At 49.2% G+C, this 14849-nt stretch overlaps 1 protein-coding gene across 18 annotated transcripts in view, besides 2 other annotated features; it reads left to right on the top strand.

The window, feature by feature from the left end:
• The window catches only part of SULF2 (sulfatase 2), a 129222-nt gene that overhangs the window by 31279 nt on the left and 83094 nt on the right, over positions 1–14849 (top strand). The window lies entirely within an intron of this gene.
• Positions 2005–2504: an enhancer, noted in NCBI's record as "H3K4me1 hESC enhancer chr20:46381589-46382088 (GRCh37/hg19 assembly coordinates)". NCBI's record gives its function as "activates a minimal SCP1, AML or CMV promoter by ChIP-STARR-seq in primed H9 embryonic stem cells {active_cell/tissue: H9 hESC(primed)}" and the evidence as "EXISTENCE:reporter gene assay evidence [ECO:0000049][PMID:30033119]".
• Positions 2505–3006: an enhancer, noted in NCBI's record as "H3K4me1 hESC enhancer chr20:46381087-46381588 (GRCh37/hg19 assembly coordinates)". NCBI's record gives its function as "activates a minimal SCP1, AML or CMV promoter by ChIP-STARR-seq in primed H9 embryonic stem cells {active_cell/tissue: H9 hESC(primed)}" and the evidence as "EXISTENCE:reporter gene assay evidence [ECO:0000049][PMID:30033119]".

Genomic DNA, 14849 nt, shown 5'->3' with positions numbered 1-14849 from the left:
AAAGGCATATGCAGATATAAGGAAACCAACAGCGTATGCAGATACAAGGAAACCAATAGCAGGTATGAAGTAGACACAGGAGAGAGGGGAACAAAGAAAGCCGTGGCTGACTTAAAATACAGAGATTTCTTCTCTCCATTTGACAGATGGAAAAACTGAGGCAGAGAGAAGTCACTTGTCCAAGTTTGCACAGCTAGAATGTGATTAAACATGATTTGAGCTGGGTGCAGTGGCTCACGCCTGTAATCCCAGCATTTTGGGAGCCTGAGGATCACTTGAGGCCAGGAGTTCGAGACCAGCCTGGGCAACATAGTGAGACCCCCCCCGTCTTAACAAAAAATGTAAAAATCAGCCAAGGATGGTGGCACACACCTGTAGTAGCAGCTAATGGGAGGCTGAGGTGGAGGATCACTTGAGCCCAAGAGGTCAAGGCTGCAGTGAGCCTAGGTCACACCACTGTTCTCTAGCCTGGGCAATAGAACAAAACCCCATCTTAGAAAAAAAGAGAAAAACAAGATTTGAACCCAGAACGCGTGATCTTAGCCACTGCTCTATTTAGCCAGATTCCTGGGATGGATATTGAGTTGTTTTCAGATTGGTAGCGTGTGCGTTTGTTAGTTTTTCACTGTTACGGATATTGTTGCTGGAAATTTAAACAGGCATCGTTGCACAGACAAGGGAGTGCTTCTGAAGGATAAATTCTAGGAGGTGGATGCGGTGGGTTTAGAGCCCCTGGTGTTCAGTGGCCTGTGTCAGCTCTTGCCCAATAGCACTACACAGCATAGATTAGGGCCTACAAGTCTTGCCCTCTATAAACAAGCCAGACCTCTTCCACCAGCAGCACTGGGTTTTGAAGGAGGCAAGGGATGGGAAGGTGGTTGTGGGAGGGGCATGATAGGCTTTTTATAAACCACTAGACAGACCCAGATCAATAATGCATGTCCCAAAAAAGCCCAATACATTATCTCACAGTCTCTGCTACAACTGGCATGCAGCGGGTGGTCCTAAAAAATTTATCATTTGCTATTTTCTGCCCATCCGTGCAGCAGTTCTGACAGCCCTCTGGGCTGGAGACTTCTTGACTGAGATAATCCCAGGATTCTTTCCAGTCCCAGGACAGAGAACAGACGTCCATCCTCATTAGGGTCCGGTTGGGAGGACTGGTGCCAGATACACAAGACGAGGGGCTTGTTCTGTTTCCTAATTGCAAGGTTGGGGGGTTCGGGGCTGTACCACGTATATTCAATTTTCCTTTCCCTGCACGCATTTGACTCCCTAAGCTGTCATTTGGAATTATCAAATGCCCAGGGGAACTGCTTCCAGGGCCATACTAGTTCGTAAGTGGCCTAAATTATCATTACATGTTTAAAGTAGTTGGGGACATCCCTGTGTCTCAATGGCCCTCTGAGACCAACGGACTTTTGCTGGACTTCCGCTCCAAAAGAATAAGAGGGAAGCACATGGAGGTAAAGGTCTCGTTTGCAGACGTCCTTTGTTCAGGGAGGCAGTAGAATCTTTGGGCTCTGCCAGGGTTTACTGATTTAATTTGATCTAAACCTCTGGGGAGCCTCTGGGGCTCCAGCAGGCTCTGAGACAGCAAGAGGATTAAGACATGGTTCTGGCCTGGAGCAAGAGAATTTTTGCAGCATCCCAGTTCTGATCTATGACTTGAGAATTTCTTTAACTGGACTTATTTTTGAAGCTTAAATATTATTTTAAAAGGAACCTCCAAATTCTGACTGTAAAGGAAAAAACCAATACCCATTGCCTTCGGCAAAGGATCACTGTAAAACCAAACACAGTGAAAACCAAGTCGTGTTTTTAAATTTCAGCAAGATGCTGCCTCCCAGAAAGCCAGTGTGTCTCTACTGTAATGAGGGTGACGGGCAGTTTCAGAAGCGGCATTAAAGGTGAAGTAGCACCTGCCAAGACTTTCTTCTTGGCCTCATCAGCAGGATAGAGACTAGAAAAGAGAAGAACTTTCTCAAGCTTTTGATGTGGGGGTCCCACTTACATGGGGACCACTTGGTGGTGGCTCTTGTATCAGAGGGTTAAGGACACAGCCAGACTCCAAACCCCAGAATATCAGAGCGGATTCCCCAGTGCTCATTTTCCTGAGTGTTCACACCAGGCAGAGATGGGTGCCTTTTCGAGGCCCCTCAGATTGTCGGATTTGAAGTGTGCCCCACGAGACTGCATCCAGTGTTTGCATTTCTTTTCTTTTCTTTCTTTTTTTTTTTTTTTTTTTTTGAGAGAGTCTCACTCTGTCACCCAGGCTGGAGTACAGTGGCGCAATCTCGGCTCACTGCAACCTCTGCCTCCTGGGTTCACGTGATTCTCCTGCCTCAGCCTCCCAAGTAGCTGGAATTACAGGTGCCCGCTACCACACCCAGCTAATTTTTGTATTTTTAGTAGATTCAGGGTTTCGCCATGTTGGCCAGGTTGGCCTCGAACTCCTGACCTCAAGCAGTCCGCCGCCTCGGCCTCCCAAAATGCTGGGATCGCAGGCGTGAGCCACCACACCTGGCCTGATGTTTGCATTTCAAAAGAATTCTTTGCCTCTCAGAACATCTTTATTTTTATTTGTTTATATTTTTTGAGACGGGGTCTCGCTCTGTCACCCAGGATGGAATGCAGTGGTGTGATCACTACTCACTGCAGCCTCGACCTCCTGAGCTTAAGCAATCCTCTTACCCCAGCCCCCGAAGTAGCTGGGACTACAGGTGCGCACCATCACACTCAGCTAATTTTGGGAGTTTTTGGGGTTTTTTTTTTTTTTTTTTAGAGATGGGCTTTTGCCATGTTGCTCAGGCTGGTTGCAAACTCCTGAGCTCAAACAATCCGCCCCCCATTGGCCTCCCAAAGTGCTGGAATTGCAGGTGCGAGCCGCTGCACCCAGCCTATCAGAACATCTTTAAATGAAAATACTCCGAGTAAAGTTGCAAGGGTAAGAGCTGTCTCATTAGCCACCAGGTTCAAATCCTCACTCTACCATTGACCATGTGTCCTTGGGAAAGATTTGCCCTCTCTGTGCCTCAGTTTACTCATCTATAAAGTGGAGATGATGATCTGTTTCCCTGGCATTCTTGTGAGGAATACCTGGCACCTGTCATATGTGTGACAGTTTGCTCTCACTTGGGTTGTTAAAGCCATCCTCTGTTAGAGCACCCTGGGCCAATGCCACAGTGTTGTTTGTCTACAGCAAGCTTTGCATATCAAAACGACATTAAAATCTAAATGTCTCATGGCACTGAACAGCAACATTAGAGTCTCCTCCCAGCTGACACAGTGGGGTGAGTGCTGTCCACGCTCATGCAGGTGAGCTGGCACCCACTCTGCCAGGTATGTGAGCCTGGCATGGTTACATACCCCATAATTTGAGTGACACTTGTCAATCAAGTTTGGCATGGGTTCTTCTGCCATTACTGCCTCTGCTGATGAACAGAGTTGCACCATCATGGCTGTTGAAAAGCAACTGAGTGGTGGTTTTGGGGCCTGCAAAAGTGCCATGGGAACCAGCCTTCCACTGGGTGTTAAAAACGCGTGTGTCACAACCACTCTCTGTCAGCCTGGATTCTCTCAGTTACGAGTGATGTAAACCCAACTCGAGCAGGATTGAGGAATCAAAAAGGGGACTTTATTGGACTCATATGAATAAGTCCAAGTATACATTGAGCTTCAGGTGCGGCTGGATCTAGGAGCTTTGTCTCTGGGTGGCCTCTGTCCCTCCATCTCCCTGACCTCAGCTTTCCTCCAAGTTGGCTTTACTCTCAGGCCAGCTCTCCAGGCAGCATTCCTGGCATCACTAGACCCACATGAACACCATACAGGTGCAAGCCATCCCTGTGGAAAGAGAGCTTCTCTCACCTAGAAGAGAGTACCCAAATTGAGTCTTTTTGGTCTGACACTGTCTGGGACTTCTGGTCAACCAGATTCAGGGGAATGGAACACAGTGGTTGGCCAGATGGAGTCAGGTGCACATTCCTGGAGCCAGGACTGGAGCCAACCCCACTTGAACCATGAGGACTGGGATTGGGATAGAGCAGATTCCCCAAAGGAAAATTCAGAAGCTAGTGCCAGAAGAAGGCAGGTAGCTGGTGTGCAGTCCAGTTAGAGAGATGCTCGTGACACCCTCACATGGCGCTCTCTGAAGCAGCTGCTCAAACTGTGGACCAGACTTATTCATTCGGCAGGTGTTTCCTGAGCACCTACTGTATGCCAAAGGAGATCCAACAGCAAACAAACTAAACAGAGCTTACATTCTAATGCAAGAGTTAACAAGACACATCGAATCTATAGTACATAAAAGAGCAGAAAGTGAGGAGGAGAATAAAGCCAGGAGGGGAAGCCAGGAGGGGCGATCAACCAGGAGAAAGGTGGAGAAAAGAATCGCTGGGATTTTCTATAGGGTGGTCTCATTGGGAAGGGGAAATCTGAGCAAAGAAGGTAAGGAAACCAGTCAAGGGGGATCCCTGGGGAAGAGCACTCCAGGCAGAGGGAACGGTGTGTGCTAAGGCCCTGAGGCAGATGCGGTCTCAGCAGGCTCAGAGCCGCAAAGAGGCCAGAGCAGCGTGCACAAGAGCAGCAGGAAGAATGAACGGTAATAGGGAGGTGGTGGTTGGATGGACCGTGCAAGGCATGAGCCTTTGAATGGGAGGAAGATTTTGGCTTTCTGAGTGAGATGGACACCAATAGAGGACATTGAGCAGAGGAGGACATTGAGCATCTGATTTGTGTCTTCATAGGACCCCTCTAGAAGAATAGACTGAATAGGTGTAATGAGAGCAGGGTGTCCAGTAAGGAGTCTACTGCAACAGTCCACGCATGAGATGAGCCCAATGAGGAGTCTATTGCAATGGTCCAGGCATGAGATGATAGCGGTTCAGACCAGAGTGAGGAAAGTAGTAAGTGCTGGTCATATTTCAAAGGTAGAGCTGATACAAGTGCTGATGGAACTGATGAGGGATGGTAAAGAAGAGTTGAGAATGACTCCAAGGTTGTGGCCTGAAAAACTATGAGAATGGATTTTCTGTGTACAGAGATGGGGAAAACCATGGTTAGAAGCTGTGGGCCGGGTGCGGTGGCTCACACCTGTGATCCCAGCGCTTTGGGAGGCCAAGGCACGCGGATCAAGAGGTCAGGAGATCGAGACCATCCTGGCCAACATAGTGAAACCCCATCTCTACTAAAAATACAAAAATTAGCGGGGCATGGTGGCACACGCCTATAGTCCCAGCTACTCGGGAGGCTGAGGCAGGAGATTTGGTTGAACCCAGGAGGCGGAGGTTGCAGTGAGCTGAGATCGCGCCACTGCACTCCAGCCTGGCGACAGAGCGAGACTCTGTCTCAATACATCAATAAATCAATAAATAAAGCTCAGTTCTGGACCTGGGAAGTTGCAGGTGCCTGTGAAAAGCCAACAGGAACTGTCCAATAGGCAGCCACATCAGTCAGACGTTGAAGAGAGAGGCCCAGGCCTGGGTGGACTTAGAGTAGGGCACGGTGGGGATCGTATACAAACTGTGTGCTTGTTTGTGCTTTACTGAATCTGAGACCCTCCCCAGATCCTGAAAGTTGCAGGAATACAGCCTGGAGAACTGTCCAGTGGGAGAGGCAGGCTTTTGAAAGAAAGATGTAGCAGAGGTCTGGCCGGCCTCCTGTTTTCCACTTTCCATCTGTGAACACAAGGAAACCACACCCTGTGCCACAGCCTGATATCCAGGAGATCAATTCCAAATCGCAGGCTCAAGTACTCTCTGTAGGGGCCAGATGGCTGGAAGCCCAGGACAACATACCCAGATTCCAGACACCAGATCAGTGGTAACTTCCAGCTCAGCCTCTCTGAGATCCCACCTCCTGGCCTTCTAGCCGCTGATCACTAGAGGAGAAAAAACATGTGGATGCAGGTTATCTCAGGAAGAAGAGAGGCTCATTCGGACCCACACTGGTGTTCAGCTTGCCAAGCACATTCCTGTAAGATGATTTTTTTTCAATTCAGCAACATTTGGGAGATCACTTGAGTTCTGGAAGTTAAGTGTATCAGGATTAGGTTTGGCTGCATGTAAAAGAAAACATAAAATAACAGTGGCTTAAACAAGACAGAATTATACAAATGTCTGGAGGTAGGCAGTCTAGGGCTGGCTTGGTGGCTTCAAGGTTATCAGGGACCCAAGCTCCTTCTCTGCCTTTCTGTTCCATCATACTTACTGCGTAGCTTCCATCTGCAAAGTCACCTTGTGGTTAGAACAGCTGCTGGAGCTCCAGCTCTCATAGCCACACTCTAGGCAGCAAGAAGAAGGAAGCAGAGGCAGAAGGGCAGGAAAAAGAAAAAAAAAAAAACCACTTCAGAAGTCACATGCAACACGAATAGATCTTATTTACTTAGCCACATGATCTCAGCGAGAATTATAAAGCACATGCAAATTTGAATCATTGGAAGACGGTTTAAGTGTTTTTTGCTAAGGTGTGAGCAAGTGCGAGGAAACCACTAGGGATAGGGCAGTGCCCCAGGCTAATTAGCAACAGTGGGACAAGAGGTTACTGGAACCCAGGGACACAGAGGGTCACCCCACAAGAGCTGTCACCCTCTGTTGGCACCACAGAGAGGAAGGTGGAGGAATCTGTCCACCAACCTCACTCTCTTCTTTCTCCGATCTCCTGCCAGGGGCCCTTGTCAGTCAAATCCAACCCAAAGCCCAGAGAGCGAAGGGGCTTGTTGAACCAGCACCTCCAGGCCAGTGCCCTGGGGTGGAGAACTGGACAGAGAGCAGGGCTGGAAGGCGGCAGGCAGGCTCCTGGCACATCTTTGGCCATAAGGGAATCTGGGAAATGTTTCCTAGCTGGGTGCATTGAAAATAAAGTCACAGCCTGATCAGAGGAAGAAGGAGAAAGAGATATTTGTGGGCAACTGAGGGTCTCAGCAACACCAGAGATCAGGAGCAAGGGTCCCAGTGAGGGCAGCTCCCCTAGCAGTGGGAAGTGGGGTTGTGTGGCCTAACACTGGGGAGACCTGTGTCATGAGGAGACATTCATGTGGAAACCCGAGGCAGGAGCACTGCAGGCAGAAGCACGGCACGTGCAAGAGCCCTGTGGCAGGAACAGGTTTCCCAGGACGTTGGAGGAGGGCAGCAGGACATGGGAATGAAGGGGAGGAGGATGGGGAAGAGGGCGGCAGAGAGCAGACAGGGGAGACCTGGTGGTCCCCAGCAGGCCATGCAGCAGGGTCTGGATTTGATTGCATGCCCGATGGAAGGTCCCCAGAATGTTCTGAGCTGGTCAGCTATGCGTGCATGTTCTCAGAGGCACACCCCGGCTGTAGGTGAAGAGGGTGGCCCAGGGACAAGAGCGGAAGCAGGGAGATCAGGTGGTGTTTGCAGCAGTCCAGGTGGGAGATGCTGGTGGTACGGAGCAGGACGGGGCACTGCAGAGCGAGAGAGGTGGGTGGATTCCGGTGCTGCTTGGAAGGTCGGCAGGGTTTGCTTTATGGATCGTGAGTGGGTGGGTGAGGGAAGAGGAATCGGGGATGACTCCTAGGTTTTTGGCTGAGCCGTTGGGCAGATGGCAGTGCCATTTACAGAGATGGGAAGGCGGGGGCAGGAGGAACAGATTGGGAGAGGTGGGGAAGGGGGGGACATTAGGTTGCTTTGCAAACATCACCCACCAGGCCTGTGGCTGGGCAGCAGCTCTGCGTAGCCCCTTCTGAAAAGTGGGGAAAACACCCTGGAAGCCCTGCCCCATTGAATAAATATCCCCTCCCAGGGATGGTGATTGTAGCATTTTGAGTTAGAGGAATATTTCTGGGTGGAGTTTCTCAGAGAGGAAATGACCAATCATTGCAGAGCCTCGTCAATTACACCCAAGCCCTGCCCTTTCCCACGTGTGCTCTGCCACCTCTCTGCTATGGTTGACGATGACCATAGCAGAATTTTCTCCCAGGAACTTCTGCAACCAGAGGCAGCAGAAAGCAACGGAGAAAAAATTAACTGCATGGTCTCTCTGACAACCCGATGCTTATTAATAGAATCTCAGTCCTGCCTCCTCGACATCTGCCTAATTGATTTTGGGTTTAGGAACCGATTTGGAGCCTTGGCTTTTCGTAGCTGAAACCAGCAATAACATTTGTCTTTATTTTGTAATGTCCAAGAGTCAGGAATGGTTCACCTTTGCACCAACAAAAGAAAAACAACAACCTCTGAGCAACAGGTCTCCAGAATCCAGTGTAATTATTCTGGATTGAGTTACAGGCACAGCAAGAGTTGCCACCAGCAGCAGTGAGCACATCTATACTAGGTGAAAAATAAGAGATTCCCTTTTTATGTGTGTGTGTGTGTATATATATATATATATATATATATTTTTTTTTTTTTATTTATTTAAGTTCTAGGGTACATGTGCACAACGTGCAGTTTTGTTACATATGTATATGTGTGCCATGTTGGTGTGCTGCACCCGTTAACTCGTCATTTACATTAGGTATATCTCCTAATGCTATCCCTCCCCTCTCCCCCCACCCCACAACAGGCCCCAGTGTGTGATGTTCCCCTTCCTGTGTCCAAGTGTTCTCATTGTTCAATTCCCACCTATGAGTGAGAACGTGCAGTGTTTGGTCTTTTGTCCTTGTGATAATTTGCTGAGAATGATGGTTTCGAGCTTCATCCATGTCCCTACAAAGGACATGAACTCATCCTTCTTTTGCCCAAGTGTGGCTCCCGATTTCTGCTGTTTGTGCCCCAGGCCTTTCTCTCCCCTCTGCTGGAGACAGAGCTATTCTGGGGCAGTTGGTCAGGTCTGATGGAGCCCAGCCTGCTGCAGCCCATTAGCAGGTGTTGCCTTGGTCATGGCAGGGAGCTCACAAGCTGATCCTACAGCACTGCGGACATTCCAGGGACATTTGAGGGCCAGGAGAGGGCTGCTGAATGAGTTCCAGCCTGTTAGGTGGACACCAGTAGCCAGAGGTCAGTGCAGGACACAGGTTCTTTCCCGCCTGTGGCTCGACCTCATAGCCCTCTTCATCCCCCACCTGTCCAGGTCAAGACTCTGTTCCAACCTGTACCTGACCCCACAGCCTCTCTTCCCCACTGAATGCCTGTTCTCTGCAGGTCTCTGGGCCCCAGTAGAGCGTTACCTTTGCAGATTTATTTAGCTGCTCCCTTCACTTGGAATTGAATCAGCTAAGGGTTGCAAACTCCATGCCCACAGGGCTAGGCACGTGCTGGCAAGGAGGAAGTCGGCATGGTAGGGGTGGTGGAAGACCAGAGGAGGACCTTGTCAAGTGGGCCTTCGCTACTCAGGTCCAGCCCACTGTGGGCCCATCAAAGCCAGGTCTTTGCATTTTTCAAGCAAAGCCAGAAAGCTGAATTGATGTGAAATCTCGCAATTAAAGAAAAAGGCCATTCAATTTTTAAAATCCTTTCCTTTTGGGCAGACCTAAATCAAACACACATGCAGACAAGATTTAGTCTAGAGGGACTCCGTTTTTTAACTCCGCGTGAGACGATACTTGTTGAAAAGCTGACATGTGGCCGGGCACAGTGGCTCACTCCTGTAATCCCAGCACTTTGGGAGGTCAAGGCAGGTGGATCACTTAAGGCCAGGAGTTCAAGAACAGCCTGGCTAACATGGTGAAACCCCATCTCTACTAAAAATAAAAAAAATTAGCCGGGAATGATAGTGGGAGCCTGTAATCCCAGCTACTCAGGAGGCTGAGGCAGGAGAATCACTTGAACCCAGGAGGCAGAGGTTGCAATGAACCGAGATGGTGCCATTGCACTCCAGCCTGGGTGACAAGAGAGAAACTCTGTCTCAAATAAGTAAATAAATAAATAAAAGCTGGCATGCATTAAGTGCTTTCTGTATGTCAAGCATTGAACTAAAAAAGTGTGTGTGTATGTGTATATATATATATATATATATATATATATATATATATATATATATATTTTTTTTTTTTTTTTTTTTTTTTTTTTTCCCTCAAAACTCAGAACAACCCTGAGAAGGAGGCACTGTTATTCTCCCGCTTTGCAGATGGGGAAACTGAGGTGCAGGGTGGCTAAATCATTTGCACAAGGTACCTGGTTAATAGGAAGTGGCAGAAATCAAGATTTGGAATCAGGCCTTCTGACTGAAAACCTTTTTCATCCTATTGAGTATGGTGACATAGCGATAGGTTCTAGAATCTATCCTAGAATTTCATAGTCAAACCTTATACCTAAAGTTATTTATGGGCTGTGTTTTTACAGACAGGGAAGCTGAAGCTCAAAGTCAGTGATTTACGGCAGTTCACACCTCATTCTTGGCCTCTCAATTCAGTGCTCTTTGGCACCCAAAGTCTACAGATGAAAAAGGACCTGGTGATTCAGTCTAGGACTGAAGTGTATATGTGCATCTGTTTGTGTGTGTGTTATACACACACACACATATTCATTTGTAGCAGCTGAACCCTTTTAACATACAAAACAAAACAGGTAAGAGAGGAATCAGGAGAAGGACGCGGCCTGGAGAGGGGTGTGTGGTGCCCCCTTCATCCTCAGCCTGCCCCATGCCAGGTGGACTTTAATGCCCCTCTCCTCAAGGAAAGAAAGCACAGCTTGGGGGCCCCTGGGAGCAGACTGGCCCCAGGTAGAGTGTAGCAGGTGATATGTGGCCACAACAGTGGCCACAGTGGATAACAGTGTTATCCCAACACTGGGAGGCCAAGGCAGGAGGATCACTTGAGCCCTGGAGTTCAAGACCATCTATAGATTTTTCGGTCATCTATAGAAAGCCCACTGTGTGCCCTCTTCCCCTAAATCCCAGGGCCTGCTTCACATAGGGGTAGCACACAGACAGGCCTGCAGACCCGTGCAGGAATGCCAAGTGCCAAATCCTGCCCTCTCCCATTGTTCTAGAAACCTGTGGCCCTCTTGCTGCATTTATTTATTTTTTATTTATTCAGGAGTTCAAGACCAGCCTGGTCAACATGGTGTAACCCTGTCTCTACTAAAAATACACACCAAAAAAAATAGCTGGGCATGGTGGTACTTGCCTGTAATCCCAGCTGCTCGGGAGGCTGAGGCAGGAGAATCGCTTGAACCCAGGAGGTAGAGGTTGCAGTGAGCCGAGATCGCGCCGCTGCACTCCAGCCTGAAAGACAGAGGGAGACTCCATCTCAAAACAATCAATAAAATTACACAAGCAAAACTTTAAAATATCCAAGTAATGCAAAGCAGAGATAGCCCTTGACTCCCCACCCACCGTGTACCCCACTCACCCCAAAGGCACCTGCATGTCCCCTAAGAATCTGTAGCCTGCATGTCCCCTAAGAATGTTTACTCTTCATTTACTCACACGGAAGCACCAGGAAGAGCAGCAAAAGGCAAGAAGGAAGGGGAGGGCATGATTCTAATCAGCACAGTCCAGAGAAAGCCTTGCTGAGAAAGTGATATTTGCAGAAACCTGAAGGCAATGAGGGACTGAGTCTGGGCTGAGGAGTGGCAGGTGCAAAGGTCCTGAGGCAGAAGCGTGCTTGGTGTGTTCGAGGAACAACAAGGAGGAGGTCAATGTGACTGGAGCAGAGGAAGCTTAGAGAGAGAGCGCACAGTAGGAGTTGTAGTTGGGGCGAGTGAGCATCCGGATCACTGAGGACCTTGTAGGACAGAGGGAGGACTTTGATTTTTACTCTGAGTGAGGCGGGCAGTCACTGGAAGACAAAGAGCAACGAATATGATGATTTCACTGACTGTTTTAAAAGAAGTCCTGGCCAGGCAGGCATGGTGGCTCATGCCTGTTATCCCAACACTTTGGGAGGCCAAGGAAGGAGGATCACTTGAGCCCAGCAGTTCAAGACCAGCCCGGGCAACGTGGTGAAGCCCCACCTGTACAAAAAATACAAAAATTAGCTGAGTGTGGTAGTGTACACCTGTAATTCCAGCTACTCAGGAGGTGGAGGTGGGAGGATCACCTGAACCTGGGGAGGTCGAGGCTGCAGTGAGCCGTGATCACACTACTGCACTCCAGCCTGGGTACAGAGTGAGACCCTGTCTCAAAAGAAAAAGCCTCTGGCCACCAAACGGAGAATAGAACAGCTTGGGAGCCTACTGCAATAGTCCAGGCAGAGAAAACAGTGATTAGAGTGAATTTAAGTCAAGGTCCTGTGTTTACTGACTCCGCCTTTATTTTTCTCCCTGCCCCATTCTTCCTTCTGCTGCTTTCCCTAGGAGGCCCTGCCATCACAGACTCTAATAATATCTATAATTTTAAGAAACTAGCCATAGGAAGGCATCTCACTAGTTATACATCAAAATCACCCAAGTTGAGGGCCGCAGGGATTTGTCTGGGAGGGGTACAGGGTTCCCCTGCTCCCAGCTGAAGCAGGCCTCCAACAGATAGGAGCCACCTAAGCCTCAGGAATGGCAAAAAAAAAAAAAAAAAAAAAAAAAAAAAATCATGTTTTGAATCCTGAAACTCCCTGGCACCTTGCTAAGTCCCCATAGATAGTGTTTGCTCTGACTTAGACCTTTAGAAGAGCAAATTCATTCAGCATTTCCTATGACACTGGCAACGTCGTCATCTGTGGCAGGTCAGCAAAATATTGATTTTATCAACGATGGACTTACTGGATGGTGCATCCAAAAATATATATATATAACTCACACCTTAATTCTCTAACTCGACGTAGTTAACTTGGATTGAGATTAAAGGGTTTTTTCTTAAATCACGTTAAATACAAATATCAAACAAATCATAGCACAGTGGTACACAGGCCCCCAAAAAGCCACCGTGAATGGGGAGGCAGTTCAGGAGTGTCATGGGAGAAACTGCATTCTAGCAGTTGGGTGGTTTGGGCCCCCAAGTTTAAATCCCAACAGATGGGCCTGGGGGTGAGGCCTCTCCAGCCCATCAGAGTCACAGAGGTGTCAGAGTGACCTCACCCTCAACCCAGTATGGTGGGAAGGTTTGGTCATGGAAAGAAACCGGGTCTGTTTTTGTCTGCATGTCCCCAGGTTTATGTTGGACGAAAGAAGTTGAGGTTGGCTGGCCCAGCTGCATTGAAAAGCTTGAAAACTGGCCTTTTCATTTCTGTGTGGCCGTGTCGTTCAGGTCCTTCCCTCCCGTCGGAGCTGTCCTTCTGCATTAGGGCTGGGGCTGGGCAAGGGGATGAGATCATATGTTTTTGTGTTACAGAGGTAGGTTTACACAGCCTCGTCGCTATGGCAGTTTTAATAAAGCAGGTTACTGTCCCCAAGGGGAGGCTTAGCACATAGCACTGCCCATGCACAGATGCTGCTGTCATTCCGGGGCACTGTTGTCCTTTACTCGTGGATTGACACAGCGCTCCTCCGCCAGCTGATTTGGGAAGGGTGAGTGCTGGCCAAGAGCACCTCACAGCTCGCTTCCTCTGGAATGAGGAGGAAGGAGATCTAAGCATTTCGAGACCCTGGATCTGAGCCCATTAAAAACAAGAAATGGTTCTGGAGGCTGTTCACTGTTTGCCAAGGCAGCACTGGGGGCTGCGGAGTGCAGGTGATTTCATCAGGTGACGGCCTGCCCTGCGTTCCCTTCCAGGAGAAGGGTCTGACCAGTTAGGTGGGTGGCCAGCTTTTGTCCTTTCTGCAGGGTCTGGAGACCGAGAGAGGCTGAGCTCTCACTACCAGCTGCTTCGTCCTTTCTCCTTCGTGTTTGGGACTAGGGAGCAAAGGATCGATTCCACTTGGGGTGCCCTGGACTCGTGCATTTAAGAAATATTTATGAGCACCCACTGCGTGCCAGGCACTGTTCTAGGCTGAGCTGTGGAGCCATCAAAAGTCACAGGGAACAGCAAACGGGATCAGTAGATAAAAACATAAAAGTATATCATGTGTTAGATGATGAGTGCAGGGTTGAAAATGTCAGGCAAGGAAGGGAGTAGAAAATATTGGGGGCCAGGGAAGACTCCACGGAGAAGGGAACTTTTGAGTAAAGACAAGAAGGGGGTGAGGGCACCGCTGCGGGGCTCCGGGGGAGAGGTCTTCCAGGCAGAAGGAACAGCAGGGCACAGGTTCTGGGATGGGAGCACGCCTGGTCAGTCTGTGGACAGAGCAGGGGACCCTGTGGCTGCAGAGAGTGGGCGGAGAGGGGGATGGGGTTAGGGAGGGGAGGGGATTGGGTCCCACCACACTCTGTGGATGGCCAGAAAGATTTGGGCTCCTCTGAGTGAGCAGGAGCCCCGGAGAGTGTCAGGAGAGGAGACTCTGGCTACACCGTGGGGAATAAGTGACTGGAGTCCAATCAGGAAGCAACTGGCCTGATTTCAGGGAGAGAGGATGATCGCCTGACCCACGGGGGAGGTGGCAAGGGTACGATCGTGGGTGTTTACGTTGAAGAGAGGGCAACAGGCTTTGCTGATGGATTGGATGTGGGAACTGAAAGATGGGAGGAACCGTAGCCAAGATGATTGCCCAAGTACCCGGAGGAAAGGGGAGTGGCTTCGGGAGGAGCAGGAGGGACGGTGACATCAGGGCTTGGCTGTGGGTGTGGCACCTGAGGTCTAATCGACAGCCGAATGACATCAATGGATGTCAGGGTTGTACCAAGCCACACATCAAGGGATGTCAGGTCCGGGTTTTACCAAGCCAATGATTGCCAAATTCTAATCATTCCCTCACAATTTTCATCATATATCTGTGTGCCACTTGTACGATTATTTACTTTTTAAAAATCGGCTGCAATTGTTTGTTGTTGTTGTTGTTTTAAGAGGATTTCCACCACCCTAAAGGAAAAGCTAAGGTTACTTGCCCTAAGTAGAAGGAAACCAAGCCACGCAATTAATCTAAGGCAATGCCACCCCCTGCCTGGAGCTCCCAGTGGCCTTTCACACCACCAGCATCCCTGGT

Source organism: Homo sapiens, chromosome 20, assembly GCF_000001405.40.
Source record: "Homo sapiens chromosome 20, GRCh38.p14 Primary Assembly".
NCBI classification, from domain to species: Eukaryota; Metazoa; Chordata; class Mammalia; order Primates; family Hominidae; genus Homo; species Homo sapiens.
Note: the sequence above shows the minus strand (reverse complement) of the source record. Positions and strands in the feature narration are given on the sequence as shown.